Source organism: Homo sapiens, chromosome 10, assembly GCF_000001405.40.
Source record: "Homo sapiens chromosome 10, GRCh38.p14 Primary Assembly".
Taxonomy (NCBI): domain Eukaryota; kingdom Metazoa; phylum Chordata; class Mammalia; order Primates; family Hominidae; genus Homo; species Homo sapiens.
The window spans coordinates 33,687,719-33,709,981 of record NC_000010.11 but is presented as its reverse complement, the minus strand read 5'-3'; the positions used below and the strand labels follow the sequence as shown (position 1 = coordinate 33,709,981).

The 22,263-nt window shown below is 39.0% G+C and overlaps 1 long non-coding RNA gene across 1 annotated transcript, besides 2 other annotated features; it reads right to left on the bottom strand.

The window, feature by feature from the left end:
• Positions 1-588: 588 nt before the first annotated feature.
• Positions 589-3,994, bottom strand: LOC124902408 (uncharacterized). The gene is made up of 2 exons (XR_007062108.1): positions 3,899-3,994; positions 589-1,466 (listed from the first exon to the last, which is right to left on the bottom strand). It is a non-coding gene; the product is annotated as an uncharacterized LOC124902408 (long non-coding RNA).
• Positions 4,666-5,865: an enhancer, noted in NCBI's record as "BRD4-independent group 4 enhancer chr10:33993045-33994244 (GRCh37/hg19 assembly coordinates)". NCBI's record gives its function as "activates an origin of replication core promoter dependent on BRD2, P300/CBP, MED14 and CDK7 cofactors, and independent of BRD4, by STARR-seq in HCT116 cells {active_cell/tissue: HCT116}" and the evidence as "EXISTENCE:reporter gene assay evidence [ECO:0000049][PMID:35650434]".
• Positions 18,677-19,876: an enhancer, noted in NCBI's record as "CDK7 strongly-dependent group 2 enhancer chr10:33979034-33980233 (GRCh37/hg19 assembly coordinates)". NCBI's record gives its function as "activates an origin of replication core promoter dependent on BRD2, BRD4, P300/CBP, MED14 and CDK7 cofactors, with strong dependence on CDK7, by STARR-seq in HCT116 cells {active_cell/tissue: HCT116}" and the evidence as "EXISTENCE:reporter gene assay evidence [ECO:0000049][PMID:35650434]".

Sequence of the window (22,263 nt, the reverse complement as noted above, 5' to 3'; positions counted from 1 at the left end):
AACAAATCAATATGTAGTCCACAAACAAAGCACGAGCCACCGAAAGTTGAAGTTAAAAATATCACATCAAATGGCTTGAGGCATACATTTATTTGAAAAAATACATCTTTATTGCCTTACAAATTCGCTTTAACAAGAGATTCGTTTTCCTACTGAAGGACATGCTGATTATTGTCCTGTGGCTTTCAATTAATAAGTTCACAGTTAACAGTTTTTAAGTACACTGAATCATGTAAATTTCCATATTGCAGCAGCTAATTTATTTGTTTATCGTGGTGTAACAGGCACTGCATGAATCTGGTTTTGAAATCAATTCCAAGCAAAGCAGATGATTTTTGCAGGGCAGACAATATGTAATGAAGACCATCAAACCTCTCCCTGTGCCACAGCATCTAGAGTGGGTCTCATGCTGCCACTGCAAACCGAAAAGGTGAGGAACCCACATCAATATCCACACAGGCATATGGGAGGATGGTGTCTTGTTTCTGTGTGACTGTCTGTGATTCACTGCTGTCTTTTATTTATGATTCCACAATTTTTTCTTTGAGAGTTCTTAATGTATTCACAGACACACAAACACAAGGATCATTAAGTTACAAGCTGGGTTTATTTACCATTTGCAGCTAGTTCAGATGGTATGCCACTACTGAACAGCATTTGAATTTTAAGATTACATACCAACATTTCTTCTTTTCCCGCACCCTGTCCCAGACCCAGGCATGCACATGGAATTTTATTCTAACTTCTGGAAACTGATTTCTCCATAGAATGCTTTAGGATTAAAGAGGAATTCTTTTTAAAGACCAGACGTTGAAAAAATTCCCTATAGAAGCAATAGAAAGTCCCCTGGGGAGAAAGAGGGTTATGAAGAGGGAAAGTATTTGGAGAAAAGAGACAGAAAAGAACATTAGAAAGTTCTGACACTATTTTTTCAAAAAAAAAAAGTCATAATGATGATCTGTGCCTTTGAGATGAATAAATGAATAAATGTTTGAGCATTTCAATCAGCAAAATGCACAGACCTTGAAGAAAAAGTGACACAAAAGCATTGAGAGATAAAATTGACTAAAATGTCCTCAGTTAATTTGAAAATTTCAATACACTCTGGAAATTGCTGGCAACCAGAAGAAACCTCACAGCCATGCAAATAGGAATTTTCTTTTCCTGCGTGTTCATGCTGATGGTGTAATTGCATTTCTGAATGTATATGCTAGTATTTATAATGGCCTTGAATGTGTTGATCTTGGACATTTTTCTTATGTAACTTATTAATGTTAACATTTTTTCCCAATGCAATATGAGCTGCCATAAGGGTCTCAGTCCTAAAGCAGCTTGATTTCTTCATATTTGGTGTTCCATGAACATAATGAGGAGAGCCCGTTTTTGTCCGTTGCGGAGCTGTCATTTAAAGTGGCCGCCACCTTCCACATTTGCCCCATCTGTCTTTTTTCAAGCCTGTCTTTGTTCTGCAGTGGAAAAATGGGCAAAGTAGAGATTAAAAACACGGAAACTACGATAGATTGAAAAATATTTGAATAATGCCCTTAAAAGTGGTTTAATCTGGGTTTCTTGAAAAAATAAACCTCAGATGTAAATAGCCTAAGAGCGAGTGGATCTTGTTTCAATATGAGGACTAGTTTTTCCGGGAAGCTGGACACTCTTAACGTGACTCTCAACCCTTGTGTCCTTGGGAAAGTAAGACTTAATGCCTTTTGGAGAATCAGTCTTGGGCCCTTGGCCATTTCTCATCTTGCAGGTTGCAGATCTTTTGACACAAAAGTTAGGCATTGTGATTTGCATATTAGTGTATTCCTTTGTGATTTCTGAGCAGAGAATATGCCATCTATAATAAGACTTCATATTTCTTCAGTTAAAATACACCAGAAACCAACATAAAATTAGTCACAGCATTCTTTAGTTACCTCTCCCCTAGGTTTCAGCACTCAGGAAGACAAAGAACTGAATATTAGATAGAACAATTCGGTTCAACAGACCAATATTGCAGGAAATTTGGGAGGTGAAAGAAGTGCCTATCAGATTCTTTGAATTTAGTGCTCAAGAAATGAAAATTCACTGACAGTGTGAGTTATGGCCATTCTTGATTCAGGAGAGGAGCAGAAGCATGACAAGACAGCCTCTTTTGTGTGTTGACTTGCAAGGGAAGGCACATAGCTCCTGCTCACGTAGGTTGTTCATTGAGTCCCATCTTGAGCATTTCCTTAATGGCACCCACTGTGGAGGTAGGAGGCCACCTGACATGCCAGCTGACAATGTCACCTGACAATTAGTCAATTTTCATAGGTTACCTCTTCATGTTACATAAGCTAAGACCCAGATGCCAATGGACAAAGAGTTTGTAGGTAGAAGGGCACCTGGATCACATATAAATTCATAATCTAGAACTGCCAACTCCATGTGTGTTATGAAATTCATAGATCTGTTCTAAGCACACATTTGTGATGTAAATTTTCAGATTCTTTTTTTCTTATGTTAATGGCCTACTCAAAAATTTGAAAGAGATTCTGAATGTAGATTTCAAGTGCTTTACTTTTATGTGGCAGGTATACTTTTCAATGCCATCATTTGCTATTTGTCGAGTGGCTAGATTACTACTGACTCTTTTTGGGTAGAGATTAATGGAGTAAAAGATACACTTTTTCTGAACTTTTGATGTTGTCATGGGTTGTAGAGAAAAAGAGGGTGCATATATGTGTATGCAAGGTTGCTTTTAATTCAAAACAATCTTGGGGAATCATTGGCTCCTTGAGAAACATTAGAGTAAAGAAATGGTTCCTGGTACACACTGGATAAGAGATGGGATAAATGGGTTTAATGCTTCCTGCATGGGCAAAAAGGACTCCCAGAGTCTTGTGTGGTGGACTCTGGGATGCAGGATGAGGTGTTGTTTAGCAGTTGAGGAAGTAAAAATTGTGGCAGACACTCCACGACATAAAGAATCCAAGATAGTACTGATAGGTCAGTGTTTAGGAGGCTAGAAAAAGTGGAAATCAGACAGGCTTATTCTTCAATAACATTGCCAGCCAACTTCATGACTGAGTCTAGCCTGGATGACCTCCAAATATTCTCTTCTGAGAGTCCAGGATTATGAAACAACAAACAAAATGGGGATAAAAAATACCAAATTAAAATAATTATGGAAAAGTGTTGTGAAAGTTAAATGTGATGAGTGTAAGGTGCTGCCTGGCATTTAATACACAATCATAAATGTGAAATGTTGCTGTTCTTAGATAACTATTATATGTAAGATATGATAATGACATTATTGTTAATTATTACCATAATCTTTTACAAGGAAGAAGAATAGGCTTGGAGGTCCAGGGAGGATTTTTGATTAAGTGAAGTTCTTTAAAAATTACAACCATAATAATGAAGATTTCTTGGTTTTCATCTAGTTAGAAATACCTACTGGGTTCTGATTGTTTCCCACTGTAGTGAAATTTTACTCTTAGGAATCTCAAGTGGATTGGCAAGGATAATGGGCCAAACAAGGCTTGTGAGCCTCAGGGAACCTGAGTCACGCTATCTATGGCAGGATGCCTGAACTATGGACACTTCCAGGTTGTCTGGAAGCTCCAGTGTGGGAATGAAGTCAGCGCCCCTTCCCACGGTATGTAGAAACTCTTTTCTCCTCCCAGCTGTGCCTAAATTTATATCCCTTGGAATATCAAACAAATACATCAGCTGGCTGCATCTTCCTCTTCTAGGTTTTCTTTTCTTGGTCACACAGGGGTAAAGAAAAACCTATGGGTGAGCCCCACAGCTACACCCAGTATCTAAACTGAGTAGGGAAACATCCTCCCAAAAAGAAAGACAACATTCCTAAATGTGACAAGTAATGCTTCTCTAGAGCTGCGAAGAAAAGGCCCCCAGTACTTACGTTTTGCTATATCAATCAGCCAAAACTTGTTAGAATTCCATGACATGAAGTTACCGAGGAATCTGAGATGCAGAGAATGGGGTTGGCACTGGGGCTGGATAGTAGGAGGGAGATATGTCATAAGTGATACAAATAACTAAGAGTCATCATTCCTGCCCTCAATAAATTTCAACCTAGATGCCCTGTGTATTTGCAATGGTCCTTGAAAATCCCCCAAATATATTTTTATCCTAGTCAGTCCTACAACTTTAGGTGCTAAATTGATAGCTGCTTTTGGACTTGAAATTTAAAGTCCCTATGCTCAAATCTCAACTCACCTTGTGTTGTAGTTACTTCCTTAAAATGAAGTCGCCCATCTCTTCATCACCAAACTGGAAATCTCAACTTTTTGATTCCTCTTTCTTTCTCTCCCTGAGGTCAGACAGCTGCTGAGTCAGGTGGATTATTTGCCCACAGGGTCTGTCTCATATCACTACGTCTTTCCTACTTCCAACTCCATTATCTTAATTCTTGTACTCATTACTTTTATTCCAAACTGCTCTCTGCACCTTTCCCTCCTATTTGTTCCAATCTACCTACCTCCAACAGCTAGATTAGTCTTTCTAAGGAATTGATCTAAATATGATCAGAAAGGGAAAGTCACCTTGCTAAAACTAAGCAGTCAGCATCCTGGCATGAAAAAAAAGCTTTTATAAATCTGGCTCTTGCAAATCAACTTGCCAGTACTTTGTCACCCTTGGATGAATGGATGAAGCTGGGTTTTTGAACTCTCAAAGTTTGAAATATACGGAGACCTCATTAGAAATGCAATAGCCACCTGAGCTTCAGTCCAGGCCACCAGTCCCCTGATCTTATAATACTAGAGGTATAAGCAACTTCATCACAGCAATAAGGATGTAAACATTTGCCAAAGACTATGGTTTGGCAAGCTAGATGGATTTAATCCCAAGCTATAGTTCCTCTGCTTTGGGCATGGGTAAGTCATTTTGCTGTGCTGAGCTTGAAAAATTGTCTTGGGATTTTGTTTTAATCTGTGAAAGAGGAATACTCACGTCTACAATTTGTGTCTTAATAGGAGTAGTGAACAATAAACATATACGTATATTTCAACATGGCAGAACCTAGTACATAGTGGCTACTTTAACAATCATTATCCTTACAGATATTATTATTACTTTCAGGACCCTCTTGCTGTTTGTATCTTAATTCCTAAAACTGTAATATCAACTAAGCCTCTCCCAAAATGTTATTCCTTTCGTGTTCATTTTAAATGTCAATGTTCATTTTGCTGGGATCCAAAAACAAGTGGAACTGCAAAAATCTCATTCAAAGCAGGGGAGAAGGGGGCGATCAGCTGCTGACCTCAAAACCATCCTCGGGATTCTCTTTTCACTCATGCAAATAAGGGGAAATATTGAGCCACGTTCCTGAAGGACATGTTTGGACTTGTTCCTCTATTACCTCTTTTTTCCTGCTAATAATCAACCTTCTCCCTCTCTAGAGGAATAGTTTTCTGTAAATGATTGAAAAATGCATTAGCAAACAAACAAAAAACCCACCAAAAGCAACAAAAAATAAATATCCAGCTGTTTCTTCTCTTCTCTTCTTTTGAGCAAATGATGCCAACCACTGCATAAAAACCTAGCCCAGGACAAAGGCAACAAGAGAGGCATTCCTTTCCCAAAAGGAACAACTCATCCAAAGCCATTTTGCATTCTAGTGAGTCCTTCTCATGATGGGCTCCACTAGGTGTACTCAATAGGCAGGAAGGAGAAAAGCAGGAGGGAGGGTGTGCAGTCACAGACAGCAACTTTACTGCAGGAGAAGCTCCTAGGCTTCTGGTGAATGGGGAGCCTGAGGCTGAGGCTCTAGGCCCTGATCCATCTGGGCTTCTGCAGCCAGAGCTGGGAGCTGTGCCTCTGCAGCGAGAGACGTGCCTTCAGTCAGGAAGGGCTTCAGGATTGTCCTCATCCCCTTCTGGGCAATTAGAAAGTGTCTTTAATTTGGCTTCTTTTCATTCCACTGATGTCAGCGCCTCCTTGTCTTCAGTCCAAACTCTGTTCCTGTCCCACTGACTCACTGTAGTTTAAGAGCATGTGGGGGTGGAGAGAGGGCTGAGCCAGGAGGTGAGAGGCCAGCATTTGGGTTTCTGTTCTATGACTGACCTTCCATGGGACCTTGGGTGAATTGTTTAGCCCAGAACCCTTCCCTGTCTCCTAATCTGCTGAGAAAGAGGGAATAGCAGGTAACTCACGTAGCAAGCGGGGCCTCTGTGAAAACCAAATAAGGTCATGCCAGTGAGAGGGTAAGGTGTAGTGCGAGTAGCAGGGATTTCTGTGATGTCCTTCCACTTAAACTGTCAGTTTCCTTTACTCTCAGATGGGACTAATGAAATGAACACACTGCAGGGGGTGTGCTTCCATTAATAAACACACGATCCACCCCTGAATGAATAGAATGGAAGATGTGTGGTGCAATCAGATCCAAGCAAGTACAACTACTCATTTTAGTAGATACTGTTTAGAAAACAACAACTTGAATCTAGACACTGCAGACCTCTTTAATAAATATCTTCTTAATTGAATCTAGACACTGCAGACTTCTTTAACAAATATCTTCTTAATTGTCTGAGCAAGTGAAAACCTTAGGCAAGCCAGGCATGGTGGGTCATGTCTGTAATCTCATCACTTTGGGAGGCAGAGGCAGGAGGATGGCTTGAGGCCAAGAGTTTGAGACCAGCCTGGGCAACACAACAAGACCCCGTCTCTACAAAAATGTTAAAAGTCAGGCAAGTGTAGTGGCTTACAGCTGTAGTCCCAGCTACTCTGGAAGCTCAGGCAGGAGGATCACAAGAGCTCAGGTGTTGGATGCTGCAGTGAGCTATGATTGCACCACTGTACTCCAGCCTGGGCAACAGAGTGAGACCTCATCTCTAAAATAAGAGGAAGAAGGAAGGCAGAGGAAAGAGCCTATGAATCAATGTTTGAGTGGGGGCAGACGGCCAGCCATCTGGGTTTCTTAAGGTGTATCTCTAGCCGGCATCTTGTTGACCAAATTACAGACACCAAGAGCTGATGCTAATGTAGCACTAAAATCAGGCATAGGGAAACCTATGAAATAATGAAATCAGGCATAGTGAAACCTACATTCAGCACGTGCAGGCCAGCGACCAATAGGGAAGGGAGAATAAACCAGGGATCAGAAGAGGGCGGGACTTGTAGAGTTTCTCACAAGGGTAGGAGAGGTTGGTAAGACCTAAAGAAGGAATCTTGAGGCCAGTTTAGGGAAGGATCTTTCTCACCCGGAGAACATTTGCTTTCAAGGTTTTGAACTTCCTTTTAAATTTCCTTTTGATAATTGCCTTTGAAAATTCTAATCTGGTAGGGTTATTCTGAGAGAAAAGACTGGTTCAAGGTCAAGCAAGGAGAAACAAAGGATCCCTGGTGATAAGATGGTAGAATGTGGCAACTTCTCTATAAGGAATATGAGGAAGGGAATGGTAAGCTGGCATGAGGGCCAAATTTGTGACACAGCTTTCAGAGCAAGTGTTGAGACAGTAGGAATTGCACCTTTTCGTAGACTCAGAGGCTTTGCGAACTCACTATTTCTTTTCTTTTTTTTTTTTTTTGAGACAGACTCTCGCTCTGTCCCCCAGGCTGTAATGCAGTGGTGCAATCTCAGTTCACTGCAACCCTCCACCTCCCAGGTTCAAGTGCTTCTCCTGCCTCAGCCTTCCAGGTAGCTGAGACTACAGGCGCAAGCCACCACACTCAGCTAATTTTTGTATTTTTGGTAGAGACGGGGTTTCACCATATTGGCGAGGCTGGTCTTGAACTCCTGACCTTAAGTGATCCGCCTGCCTCTGCCTCCCAAATTGCTGGGATTACAGGTGTGAGCCACTGCACCTGGCTGCTAGTTTTAACATTTTTAAAACTCCACTCAATGCCAAAGTCATCTCTGGAGTCTACAGGCAAACTAGACTGGATCATTCCAAGTGTTAGTGCAATATCCTTCTTACAACCACAGACACTGTAAGTTGAAACCAACTTTTGTGATATGAGCACATGTGTATTGGATCTACCACTTGGCCTATAGTTACGAGAAGCAGACTGGTCCCAGATCTGCAGATAGGTCACTGAGAAACTTAAGGTAAATCACATTACTCCTTCACTCCCTCTGAGCTTTATATCCTCACCTATAAAATAAAAATTTTGGCCTAAAATTTCTAAAATTTCAATTAGACTGTTTTCTCCTTCTACTAGTGTTCACAGAATTACTGAATGATAGAGTTGGAACAAATTTGTTTGTAATGGCTTCATTCTTATCTTGTAGGTTGCAGCTTATATGTTATCTTCTCTGAGTGCAATATCCTGATCAACTAATCTTGTCCACAACCCCTAGATATTCTCTGTCATTACACTGTGATTATGCTATTGTACTTAAGATAATTTCTAGTGATATATTAATCATTTTAGAAAGTTAAATGTAACATAATATGAAAAGCATAGTATATTACAACCAGGTGAATTTTATTCTAGGAATGCAAAGCTGATCTGTCATTCAAAAAGATGATTGATCAGTTAAAAATAATTTTAAAAAGCTACAATGTATTACAGGGTTTATAAAATATATCAAAATAAAATGTAAGGAAATAATAGCATAGGGAGGGAAGTAGGAAATGGAAGAACACTGCTGTAAGTTTCTTAGATAATAGATGAACTGATATATTATCACAAGGTAGACTGAGAATACAGTTATATAGAAGAATTACAAAAATGAAATGAAATATTGCTAAAAAGCCAATAGTAGAGATGTAATGAATTTTTTTAAAAGGGCAGGAAGAGAGGAAAAAGGACAATAAAACAAATATAATAAATAGAAACTATGTAGCAATATGGTAGATTTCAACCTGGCTAGAGTTATGTTTACATTAGATTACATTAATTGTGAATGGTTTAATGGTAAATGGTATTACAAGTTTGAATTAAAGGGCAGAGATTGTTGGCCTGGATTAAAAAGCAAAACACAAGTATAATGTGTCTACAAGAAACTCACTTTAAAGTGGGTAAATGTGAAATCATACAAAACGGTAGCCTATGTAAACAATAATCAAAAGAAAGCTGGAGTAGATACATTAATATTAGACAAAATGAACTTCAAAGCAAAGAATATTGTCAGTTATAAACAGTAACATTTCATAATGATAAAAAGTTTTTTAAAGATAACCTTCTTTATTGTGTATGTATCTAATGACAGAGCTTTGAAACAGACAAAGCAAATTCTAAGAGAACTGAAGAGAAAAACAAATTGAGACGTATGGTTGAAGATTTTACTGTTCTTGCTTTATATTAGGCCGGTGCAGAAGTAATTGCAGTTTTTGCTATTAAAAGTACAAGAATGCCAGGCACAGTGGCTCATGCCTATAATCCCAGCACTTTGGGAGGCTGAGGCGGGCAGATCACTTGAGGTAATGAGTTCGAGACCAGCCTGGCCAACATGATGAAATCCCATCTCTACTAAAAATATGAAAATCACCTGGGCATTGTGGTGGGCACCTGTAATCCTAGCAACTAAGGAGGCTGAGGCAGGAGGATTGCTTGAACCTGGGAGGCAGAGGTAGCAGTGAGCCAAGATCATGCCACACTCTAGCCTGGGCAACAGCGTGAGACTCTGTCTCAAATAATAATAATAATAATAAATAATAATAACAAGTACAAGAACAAGTAGAAAAAATAAGTTAGGGTATAGAAGATTTGAACAACATTGCCAACCAACTTGACCTAGATGATGTATATAGCACATTTCACCCACTGGCAGCAGAATATACATTTTTTTTTCAAGTATATGTGGAACATGTACCATGATTGGCTAAAGTCTGGGCCATAAAATGTGTCAAATTTCAAAGAATTGAAATAGTACAGAGAATATTCTTGACCTCATTGGAATTAAATTAAGAAACTATTTTTTAATCTTAAAAATTTTCCAAATACTTAGAAATTAAGTAATAATTCTAAATAATTCATGAGTTGAAGAAATTACAAAGAAAGATAGAAAATATTTTTAATTTAGCTTAAAATAAAAACACAATATAAGATAATTGTGAAATGCAACTAAATCCACATTTAGAAGAAGATTTAAAGCTTTAAATGCTGGTATTAAAAAAAGGGTAGGAGGTGCCAGGCACAGTGGCTCATGCCTGTAATCCCAGCACTTTGAGAGGCCAAGGCAGGCAGATTGCTTGAGCTCAGGAGTTCAAGACCAGCCTGGGCAGTGTTGTGAAACTCTATCTCTGCTAAAAATACAAAAATTAGCTGGTCGTGGTGGTGCGCCCCTGTAGTCCCAGCTACTTGGGAGGCTGTGGTGAGAGGATGGCTTGAGCCCAGGAGATGGAGGTTGCAGGTGAGCCAAGATCGCACCACTGCATTCCAGCTTGGGTGACAGAGTCAGACCCTGTCAAAAAAAAAAATATAACAATGGTTCTTTATTATTAAAGCTTCCATCTTACCATGCTGGAAGAAGAAGAGGAAATTAAATGCAGAGCAAATGAAGAATAAAATGTTAAAGATAAGAGCAGATGTCAATGAAATATAAAACAAAAACAAAAATAGAGAAAATAAATAAGACCCAAAGATAGTTCTTAGAAAAAGAAAATTACTGTATTGACTCATCAAGACAAAAGGAAAATTATCATTACTATAAGTGAAAAAGGGGATATCACCCTAGATATTATGGGCATTAAAATAATAACTAAGAAATACTACAAACAGCTCTTGTCAAAAATTTGACCAGGGCAGGAAAACTATGGCAGTAGGTCAAATCTGGCCTGCCACCTGTTTTAGTTAAAAAGTTTTGTTGGAACACAGTCATAATGATTTGTTTATGCACAATCATCCTTCAGTATTTGTGGGGAATTGGTTCCAGGACCTCCCACAAATACCAAAATCTGCAGATGCTCAAATTTCTGATATAAAATGTGGTATTTTGCATATAATTCATGTGCATCTTCCTGTGTACTTTAAATTATCTCTAGATTATTTGTAATAGCTAATACAATGTAAGTGCTATGTAAATGGTTGTTATACTGTTTTGTTTAGGGAATAATGACAAGAGTAAAAGTCTGTACATGTTCAGTACAGGTTTCATTTTTTTCCAAATATTTTTCATCCACAGTTGGTTGAATCCATGGATGCAGTATCTATGAATACGGAGGGCTTGCTGTATTGTCTATGGTTGCTTTCATGTATGAGTGGCAGAATTCATTAATTGCGACAGAGACTGGATGTTCCATAAAGTCTAAAATATTTAATATCTGTCCCATTATAGAAAAAGTTTGCTAACCCTTGACCAAGATGAAATGAAAACATTCCTTGAACAATGTAAATTACCAAAACTAATAAAATAGAAAAGTCTGAATGTCCTTATATCTATTAAGTAAATTAAAATCAAAGTGAAAAGTTTTTCACAAAATGAAATCCTGACCCAGATGAAACATTTAAGAGAGAAATAATATCAATTCTACAGAAATTCTTCAGAAAACAAAGGAGGAAACTTTTCAAAGCTTATTTCATGAGCACAGAATTACCCTAATATCAAAAATAAACAAAGACATTACATGAAAACTACAGATCAATATCCCTAATAAATGTAGATGCAAAAATCCTTAAGAAATATTAGTAACTAGAATCCAGCAATATTAAAAGGATAACATGCCATGACTATGTGGGATTTATGCCAGGAATGTAAGCTGATTTAACATTTGAAAATCAACTGAAGTAGTTTACCACATGTAAAGCTTTTTTTTAAAAAAAGAAGTCCACATTAGCATCTCAATAGCTGTGCAAATGCATTGAACAAAGCTTAACAACAATTCATGATTAAAAAGAGTAAAACATTGCAGCAAACTAGAAATAGAAACCAACTTCCAAACCTGATAAAAATCTTCTGTGAAAAATCTAGAGTTAACATAATACTTAATGGAAAAACTAAATGCTTTCCACCCAAGATCAGGAGAAAGATAAGAATGCCCACTCACACTGCTTTTATAGAATATTTACTATAGTAAAAATTCTAGCCAGTGATATAAGGCAAGAGGAAAAACAAACTTGACCAGATGAAATGGAATAAGCAGAATGTTTTAATTCATATAAAACATGATTTTGTGTATGAAATAGCCAAAGAAATCTACCAAAAAATGGTAGAATTAAAAGGTGTATTTAGCGTGTTCACAGAATACAAGTTGGATATTTAAAAAATTCAGCTTATATCTATATAATATCAATTGAATGGAAAAATTAGAAATTTAAATGAAAAACATGCCATTGTAATACTATCCAAAATGAAATACTTGAAAACAAATTTAACAACATATGCTTAAGACCTGCAGACCAAATTCTAAAAGAAAGTAGACAAAACCTAAATAAATGATATATACCATGTTCATGAACTGGAAGATTTAATGTTCTTAAGATGACAATTCTCCCCATTTTAATTAGTAGACTCAATGTAATCAATTAAAAAACCCCAGCTGAAAAGCTCTTTCTAATATTTATGTTAGAAAATCAAAGGATCTATATAAGCCAGAAGAATATTGAAAAAATAAAAAGAACAAAGTTGAAGAACACATGCTTCTAGAGTTCAAGAATGACTTTAAACCCACAGTAACCAATAATCACCTTTTATGGTTAATTGATTTTGTAAAAGATGCCAGGGTCATTAAATAGGGAAACAATAATCTTTTGAACAAATGCTGCTGGAAAGTCTGGATTTATACATGGTAAAATGTGAAAAGATGAATCTCAATCCTTTACTGACACCATACCCCAAAACCAAGGGGAGGTGACTCGTAGACTCAAAACTAACTGAAGGTGACTCATAGACCTAGCTATAAGGCAAAAACAGGGGTGTGCAAACTGGTCCACTGGCCAGATTTGGCCATGCTCATTTGTTTGTGTATTATCAATGATGCATTTATGCTACAACAGCAGAGTTGAATACTATGACAGTGACCATATGTCCCATAAAGTCAAAAATATTGATTATCGGTCGGGCACGGTGGCTCACGCCTGTAATCCCAGCACTTTGTGAGGCCGAGGCGGGTGGATAACAAGGTCAGGAGTTCGCGACCAGCCTGGCCAACATGGCAAAACCCCCGTCTCTACTAAAAATACAAAAATTTGCCAGGTGTGGTGGCAGGTGCCTGTAATCCCAGCTACTCAGGAGGCTGATGAAGAAGAATCGCTTGAACCTGGGAGGCGGAGGTTGCAGTGAGCCGAGATTGCACCATTGCACTCCAGCCTGGGGAACAAAAGTGAAACTCCATCTCAAAAAAATAAAAGGATTCCTGAGCAAGATGATCAAATAGGAACAGCTCCAGTCTGCAGCTCCCAGAGAGATCAATGCAGAAGGTGGGTGATTTCTGCATTTCCAACTGAGGTACCTGGCTCATCTCATTGGACTGGTTAGACAGTGGGTGCAGCACATGGAGGGTGAGCTGAAGCAGGGTGGGGCATCGCCTCACTGGGGAAATGCAAGGGGTCAGGGAACTCCCTCCCCTAGCCAAGGGAAGCCATAAGGGACCGTGCCGTGAGGAATGGTGCACTCCAGCCCAGATACTATGCTTTTCCCATGGTCATCACAACCCACAGACCAGGAGATTCCCTCAGGTGCCTATACCACAAGGGCCCTGGGTTTCAAGCACAAAACTGGGCGGCCATTTGGGTAGACACCGAGCTAGCTACAGAAGTTTTTTTTCATACCCCAGTGGTGACTGGAACTCCAGAAAGACAGAACCGTTCACTCCCCTGGAAAGGGGGCTGAAGCCAGGGAGCCAAGTAGTCTCGTTCAGTGGATCCCACCCACATGGATCCCAGCAAGCTAAGATCCACTGGCTTGAAACTCTCGCCACCAGCACAGCAGTCTGAAGTCAACCTGGGATACTTGAGCTTGGTTGGGGGAGGGGTGTCTGCCATTACTGAGGCTTGAGTAGGTGATTTTCCCCTCACAGTGTAACCAAAACCACTAGGAAGTTCGAACTCAGCAGAGCCCACCGCAGCTCTGCAAAGCTGCTGTAGCCAGAATGCCTCTCTAGATTCCTCCTTTCTGGGCAGTGCATCTCTGAAAGAAAGGCAGCAGCCCCAGTCAGGGGCTTATAGCTCCCATCTCCCTGCGATAGAGCATCTGGTGGAAGGGGCAGCTGTGGGCACAGCTTCAGCAGACTTAAATGTTCCTGCCTGCTGGCTCTGAAAAGAGCAGTGGATCTCCCAGCAGAGCGCTCAAGCTCTGCTAAGAGACAGACTGCCTCCTCCAATGGGTCCCTGACCCCCATGCCTCCTGAGTGGGAGACAACTCCCAGCAGGGGTCGACAGACACCTCATACAGAAGAGCTCCAGCTGGCATCTGGCGGGTGCCCTTCTGGGACGAAGCTTCCAGAGGAGGGAAGAGGCAGCAATCTTTGCTGTTCTGCAGCCTCTGCTGGTAATACACAGGCAAACAGGGTCTGGACTGGACCCCCAGCAAACTCCAACAGACCTGCAGAAGAGAGGCCTGTTAGAAGAAAAACAAACAGAAACCAACAGCATCAACATCAACAAAAAGACGACCATGCAAAAACTCCATCCAAAGGTCACCAACAGCAAAGATCAAAGGTAAATAAATCCACAAAGATGAGGAAAAACCAGTGCAGAAAGGCTGAAAATTCCAAAAACCAGAATGTCTCTTCTCCAAAGGAGCACAACTGCTCACCAGCAAATGAACAAAACTGGACGGAGAAAGAGTTTGATGAATTAACAGAAATAGGCTTCAGAAGGTGGGTAACAACAAACTCCTCCAAGCTAAAGGAGCATGTTCTAACCCAATGCAAGGAAGCTAAGAACCTTGATTAAAGGTTAGAGGAAATGCTAATTAGAATAACCAGTTTAGAAAAGAACATAAATAACCTGATAGAGCTGAAAAACACAGTACAAGAACTTTGTGAAGCGTACACAAGTATCAATAGCCAAATCAATCAAGTGGAAGAAAGGATATCAGAGATTGAAGATCAGCTTAATGAAATAAAGTGTGAAGACAAGATTAGAGGAAAAAAATGAAAAGGAACAAACAAAGCCTCCAAGAAATATGGGACTATGTGAAAAGACCAAATCTATGTTTGATTGGTGTACCTGAAAGTGATGGGGAAAATGGAACCAAGTTGGAAAACACACTTCAGGATATTATCCAGGAGAATTTCCCCAACCTAGCAAGATAGGCCAACATTCAAATTCAGGAAATACAGAGAACACCACAAAGATTATCCTTGAGAAGAGAAACCCCAAGACACATAATCATCAGATTCACCAAGGTTGAAATGAAGGAAAAAATGTTAAGGGCAGTGAGAGAGAAAGGTTGGGTTACCTACAAAGGGAAGCCCATCAGACTAACAGCAGATCTTTCTGCAGAAACCCTATAAACCAGAAGAGAATGAAGGTGAATATCCAACATTGTTAAAGAAAGAATTTTTAACCCAGAATTTCATATCCAGCCAAACTAAGCTTCATAAGTGAAGGAGAAATAAAATCCTTTACAGACAAGCAAATGCTAAGGCATTTTGTCACCACAAGGCCTGCCTTACAAGAGCTTCTGAAGGAAGCACTAAATATGGAAAGGAAAAACCAGTACCAGCCACTGCAAAAACAAACGAAAATGTAAAGACCATCAACATTATGAAGAAATTGCATCAACTAATGGGCAAAATAACGAGCTAGCATCATAAAATTCACACACAATATTAACGTTAAATATAAATGGGCTAAATGTCCCACTTATATGGCACAGACTGGCAAATTGGATAAAGAGTCAAGGCTCATTGGTGTGCTGTACTCAGGAGACCCATCTCACAAGCAAAGACACTCATAGGCTCAAAATAAAGGGATAGAGGAAGATTTACCAAGCAAATGGAAAGAAAAGAAAAAAAGCAGGGGTTGCAACCCAAGGCTCTGATAAAACAGACTTTAAACCAACAAAGATCAAAAAAGACAAAGAAGGGCATCACATAATGGTAAAGGGATCAATGTAACAAGAAGAGCTAACTATCTTAAATTTATATGCACCCAATACAGGAGCACCCAGATTCATAAAGTAAATTCTTAGAGGCCTACAAAGAGACTTAGACTCCCACACAGTAATAGTGGGAGACTTTACATCCCACTGTCAATATTAGACAGATCAACGAGACAGAAAATTAGCAAGGATATTCAGGACTTGAACTCAGCTCTGGACCAAGTGGACCTAATAGATATCTACAGAACTCTCCATCCCAAATCAACAGAATATAAATTCCTCTCAGCACCACATAACACTTATTCTAAAATCAACCACATAATTGGAAGTAAAACACTCCTCAGCAAATGCAAAAGAATGAAAATTACAACAGTCTCTCAGACCACAGTGCAATCAAATTAGAACTCAGGATTAAGAAACTCACTCAAAACTAAACAACTACGTGGAAACTGAATAACCTGCTCCTAAATGACTACTGGGTAATTAATGAAATTAAGGCAGAAATAAATAAGCTCTTTGACACCAATGAGAACAAAGACACTATGTACCAGAATCTCTGGGACATAGTTAAAGCAGCATTTAGAGGGAAATTTATAGCACTAAATTCCCACAGGAGAAAGTGAGAAAGGTCTAAAATCGACACCCTAACATCACAATTAAAAGAACTAGATAAGCAAGAGGAAACAAATTAAAAAGCTAGCAGAAGACAAGAAATAACTAAGATCAGAGTAGAACTGAAGGAGATAGAGACATGAAAAACCCTTCAAAAAATCAATGAATCCAGGAGCTGGTTTTTTTTTAAAAGTTAACAAAATAGGTAGACCACTAGCCAGACCAATAAAGAAGAAGAGAAGAATCAAATAGACACAATAAAAAATGATAAAGGGGAGATCACCACTGATCCCACAGAAATACAAACTACCATCAGAGAATACTGTAAACACCTCTACACAAATAAACTAGAAAATCTAGAAGAAATGGATAAATTCCTGGATACATACCCACTCCCAAGACTAAACAAGGAAGAAGTCGAATCCCTGAATAGACCAATAACAAATTCTGAAATTAAGGCAGTAATTAATAGCCTACCAACCAAAAAAAGCCCAGGACCAGATGCATTCACAGCCAAATTCTACCAGTGGTACAAAAAGGAACTGGTACCATTCCTTCTGCAACTATTCCAAACAATAGAAAAAGAGGGACTCCTCCCTAATACATTTTATGAGACCAGCGTCATCCTGATACCAAAACCTGGCAAAGACACAATAAAAAAAGAAAATTTCAGGCCAATATCCCTGATAAACATTGATGCGAAAATTCTCAATAAAATACTGGCAAACAAAATCCAGCAGCACATTAAAAAGCTTATCCACCGTGATCAAGTTGGCTTCATCCCTGGGATGCAAGGTGGTTCAACATACACAAATCAATAAATGAACATAACCCATCACATAAACAGAACCAATGACAAAAACCACATGATTATCTCAATAGATTTAGAAAAGGCCTTCGAAAAAATTCAACACTCCTTCACGCTAAAAACACTCAATAAACTAGGTATTGATGGAACATATCTCAAAATAATGAGAGCTATTTATGACAAACCTACAGCCAGTATCATACTGAATGGGCAAGCTGGAAGCATTCCCTTTGAAAACTGTCACAAGACAAGGATGCCCTCTCTCACCACTCCTATTCAACACATTATTGGAAGTTCTGGCCAGGGCAATCAGGCAAGAGAAAGAAATAAAGCATATTCAAATAGGAAGAGAGGAAGTCAAATTATCTCTGTTTGCAGATGACATGATTGTATCTTTAGAAAACCCCATCATCTCAGCCCAAAAACTCCTTAAGCTGATAAGCAACTTCAGCAGTCTCAGGATAAAAAATCAATTTGCAAAAATCACAAGCATTCCTATACACCAATAATAGACAAAGAGAACCAAATAATAAGCAAACCCCCATTCACAATTGCTGCAAAGAGAATAAAATACCTAGGAATACAACTTACTAGGGATGTGAAGGACCTCTTGAAGGAGAACTACAAACCACTTTCAAGGAAATAAGAGAGGACACAAACAAATAGAAAAACATTCCATGCTCATGGAGAGGAAGAATCAATATTGTGAAAATGGCTATGCTGCCCGAAGTAATTTATAGATTCAATGCTATCCCCATCAAGTTACCATTGACTTTCTTCACAGAATAAGAAAAATCTAGTTTAAATTTTATATGGAACCAAAAAAGAGCCCATATAGCCAAGACAATCCTAAGGAAAAAAGAACAAAGCTGGAGGGATCACGCTACCTGACTTTATACTACAAGGCTACAGTAACCAAAACAGCATGGTACTTGTACCAAAACAGATATATAGACCAATGGAAGAGAACAGAGGCCTCAGAAATAACACCACACATCTACAACCATCTGATTGTTGACAAACCTGACAAAAAACAAGCAATGCGGAAAAGATTCCCTATTTAATAAATGGTGTTGGGAAAACTGGCTAGCCATGTGCAGAAAACTGAAGCCCTCCTTACACCTTATACAAAAATTTACTTGAGATAGGTTAAAGATTTAAATATAAGACATAAAACCATAAAAACCCTAGAAGAAAACTGAGGCAATGCCATTCAGGACATAGGCCTGGGCAAAGACTTCATGACTAAAACACCAAAAGCAATGGCAACAAAAGCCAAAATTGACAAATGAGATCCAATTAAACTAAAGAGTTTCTGCACAGCAAAAGAAACTATCATCAGAGTGAACAGGCAACCAACAGAATGGGTAACAATTTTTGCAATCTACCCATCTGACAAAGGGCTAATATCCATAATCCACAAGGAACTTAAACAAATTTACAAGAAAGAAACAAACAACCCCATCAAAAAGTGGGCAAAGGATATGAACAGACACTTCTCCAAAGAAGATATTTTTGTGGGCAACAAACATGAAAAAAAGCTCATCACCACTGGTTATTAGAGAAATGCAAATCAAAACTATAATGAGATACCATCTCATGCCAGTTAGAATGGTGATCATTAAAAAGTCAGCAAACAACAGATGCTGGAGAGGATGTGGAGAAATAGGTATGCTTTTACACTGTTGGTGGGGGTGTAAATTAGTTCAACCATTGTGGAAGTATCGGGGGAACCCACCCCCAATATTTCAACGTAGGTTTTTTCTATTTTCCCTAAGTGTCAGCTGGTCTGAGAAACAAAGAGAAAGAGTACAAAGAGTACAAAGAGAGGAATTTTACAGCTGGGCTGCCAGGGGTGACATCACATAGCAGTAGGACCATGATGCCCCCTTGAGTCACAAAACCAGCAGGTTTCATTAAGGACTTCAAAAGGGGAGGAGGTTTATGAACAGGGAGTAGGTCACAAAGATCACATGCTTCAAAGGGCAAAAAGGAGAACAAAGATCACATGCTTCTGAGGCCAATAAAGATCACAAGGCAAAGGGCAAAGCAAAGATCACAAGGCAAAGGGCAAAATCAAAAACTCCTGATAATGGTCTATGTTCAGCTGTGCACATATTTTCTTGATAAACATCTTAAACAACAGAAAACAGGGTTCGAGAGCAGAGAACTGGTTGGACCTCAAATTTACCAGGGGGCAGTTTTTTCCCCACCCTAATAAGCCTGAGGGTACTGCAGGAGACCAGGGCGTATTTCAGTCCTTATCTCAACCACATAAGACAGACACTCCCAGAGCGGTTGTTTATAGATCTCCCCCCAGGAATGCATTCCTTTCCCAGGGTCTTAATATTCCTGGCTAGGAAAAGAATTTAGCAATATCTCTCCTACTTGCACATCCGTTTATAGGCTCTCTGCAAGAAGAAAAATATGGCTCTTTTTTCCCGACCCCGCAGGCAGTCAGACCTTATGGTTGTCTTCCTTTGTTCCCTAAAAATTGCTGTTATTCTGTTCTTTTTCAAGGTGCACTGATTTCATATTGTTCAAACACACATGTTTTACAATCAATTTGTACAGTTAACGCAGTCATCGCAGTGGATCTGAGGTGATGTACATCCTCAGCTTACAAAGATAACAGGATTAAGAGATTAAAGTAAGACAGGCATAAGAAATTAAAAGAGTATTATTAAGGAAGTGGTAAATGTCCATGAAATCTTCACAACTTATGTTCCTCTGCCGCAGCTCCAGCCGGTCCCTCTGTTTGGGGTCCCTGACTTCCCACAACATGGAAGACAGTGTGGCAATTCCTCAAGGATCTAGAACCAGAAATACCATTTGACCCAGCAATCCCATTACTGGGTATGTACCCAAAGGATTATAAATCATTCTACTATAAAGACACACGCACACGTATGTTTATTGCAGCACTATTCACAATAGCAAAGACTTGGAACCAACCCAAGTGCCCATCCAGGTTAGACTAGATTAAGAAAATATGGTACATATATACCATGAAATACTATGCAGCCATAAAAAGAATGATTTCATGTCCTTTGCAGGGACATGGATGAAGCTGGAAATCATCATTCTCAGCAAACTAACACAGGAACAGAAAACCAAACACCACATGTTCTCACTCATAAGTGGGAGTTGAACAATGAGAACATATGGGCACAGGGAGGGGAACATCACACACTGGGGCCTGTTAGGGGGTGGGGGGCAAGGGGAGGGATAGCATTAGGAGAAATACCCAATGTAGATGACAGGTTGATGGGTGCAACAAACCACCATGGCACATGTATACCTATGTAACAAACCTGTACATTCTGCGCATGTATCCCAGAACTGAAAGTACAATAATAAAAAAAAAAGAAAAAAAATAGATTATCTGGCCCTTTACAAAAAGGTGATCTAAAAGAAAATATGGAAGAATCTGAATATTTCCCATGATCTAAAGAAGAATGAGGGAGAATATCCTTGTGACATTGGAATAGGGAAATATTTCTAGTATAGGACACAAAAGTCACTAACCATTTAAAAAAGCAAACAAATAATTTTATTGTATTAAAATTTTGATAATTTGCTTTACAAAAGACACCACTAAAAAAATGAAAAGGCAAGGAAGAGACTGAGAGAAGACATCTGCAGTTCCTACATCAAACAAAAAATTTATATTCAGAATATATAAAGTACTTGTTTAATGTAATAACAACAAGACAAACTATCAAATTTAAAAACGAACAAAGATTTTAACAGATACTTCACAAAATAAGATAAATGAATAGCCAACAAACTCATGAAAGATGCTCAATATTATTAGTCACCAGTAAATAAAAATTAAAAACACAGTGAGATGCCACTATAGATCCACTAGAATGGCTAAAATTAGACTGACAATTCCAAATGTTGACAAGGATGTAGAGCAACTAGAATGCTCCTACATTGATGATGGGGATCTAAAATGGTCTAACACTTTTAAAGAACAGTTTGACAGTTTCTTATAAACTTACCAGTACACTTTTCACGTATCCAGCAATTGCATTCCTGAGTACAGTATTTATCCAAGGGAAATGAAACAAAGACTTGAACACAATGTTCATTATAACTTTATTCCTAATAGATAAAACCTAAGCTACTCAAATGCTCACCATTTGTGAATAGAGAGACAAAATATAGTACTTTCATACTATAGTATACTACTCACCTATAAAAAAGAACCAGCTACTGGTAACATACAACAATATGTGTTACTAAAACACTAGGAGTTCTTTGTAGATCCTGCTGCTCACCGCACAGTAAGCCAATCACTGAGACAATGAGTATTGCCAGGGAAGAAGGCTTTAATTGGGTACTGCAGCTGTGGAGATGGAGATCACTCTCAAATCCATCTCCCTGACTGACTAAAATTAGAAGTTTACATAGCAGGGAAGAATGTAACCATGTGTAAAAAAACAGGAACAGGGAGGGGTAAGGAAGAGAAGTTGGTCAATGGGAAGCAGGTGGTAGGTTAGGCATCACGATGGGTAAGAGGTCTGGTGGCATCTCATTGCCCAGATGCAGTGATCTGGTGAGTTTCAGCTCCTCCATACTGTCTGGGAGGCCGAATGGTTGGTTTCTTGAGAAAGGAACTCTGATAAGACAATTGTAACTGTCTCAAGCTTTAAAACCGGGTGGGTAAATTTCTGTGCTTATTCAAATGAAATCATAAACAGCAATTCTATGGGACAATGGGGCTAGTTTCATATAGATGAATCTCAAAAACATTATGGAGAATAAAAAAAGCCTGGCACACATCCCCAAAACAAATACTATATGATTCATCTTATAGGAAACTCCAGAAAAGGCAGACTAATCTATACTGCAAGAAAACATATCAGTTGTTACTTGGAGCTGGGGACAGGAATGGGTTGGGACT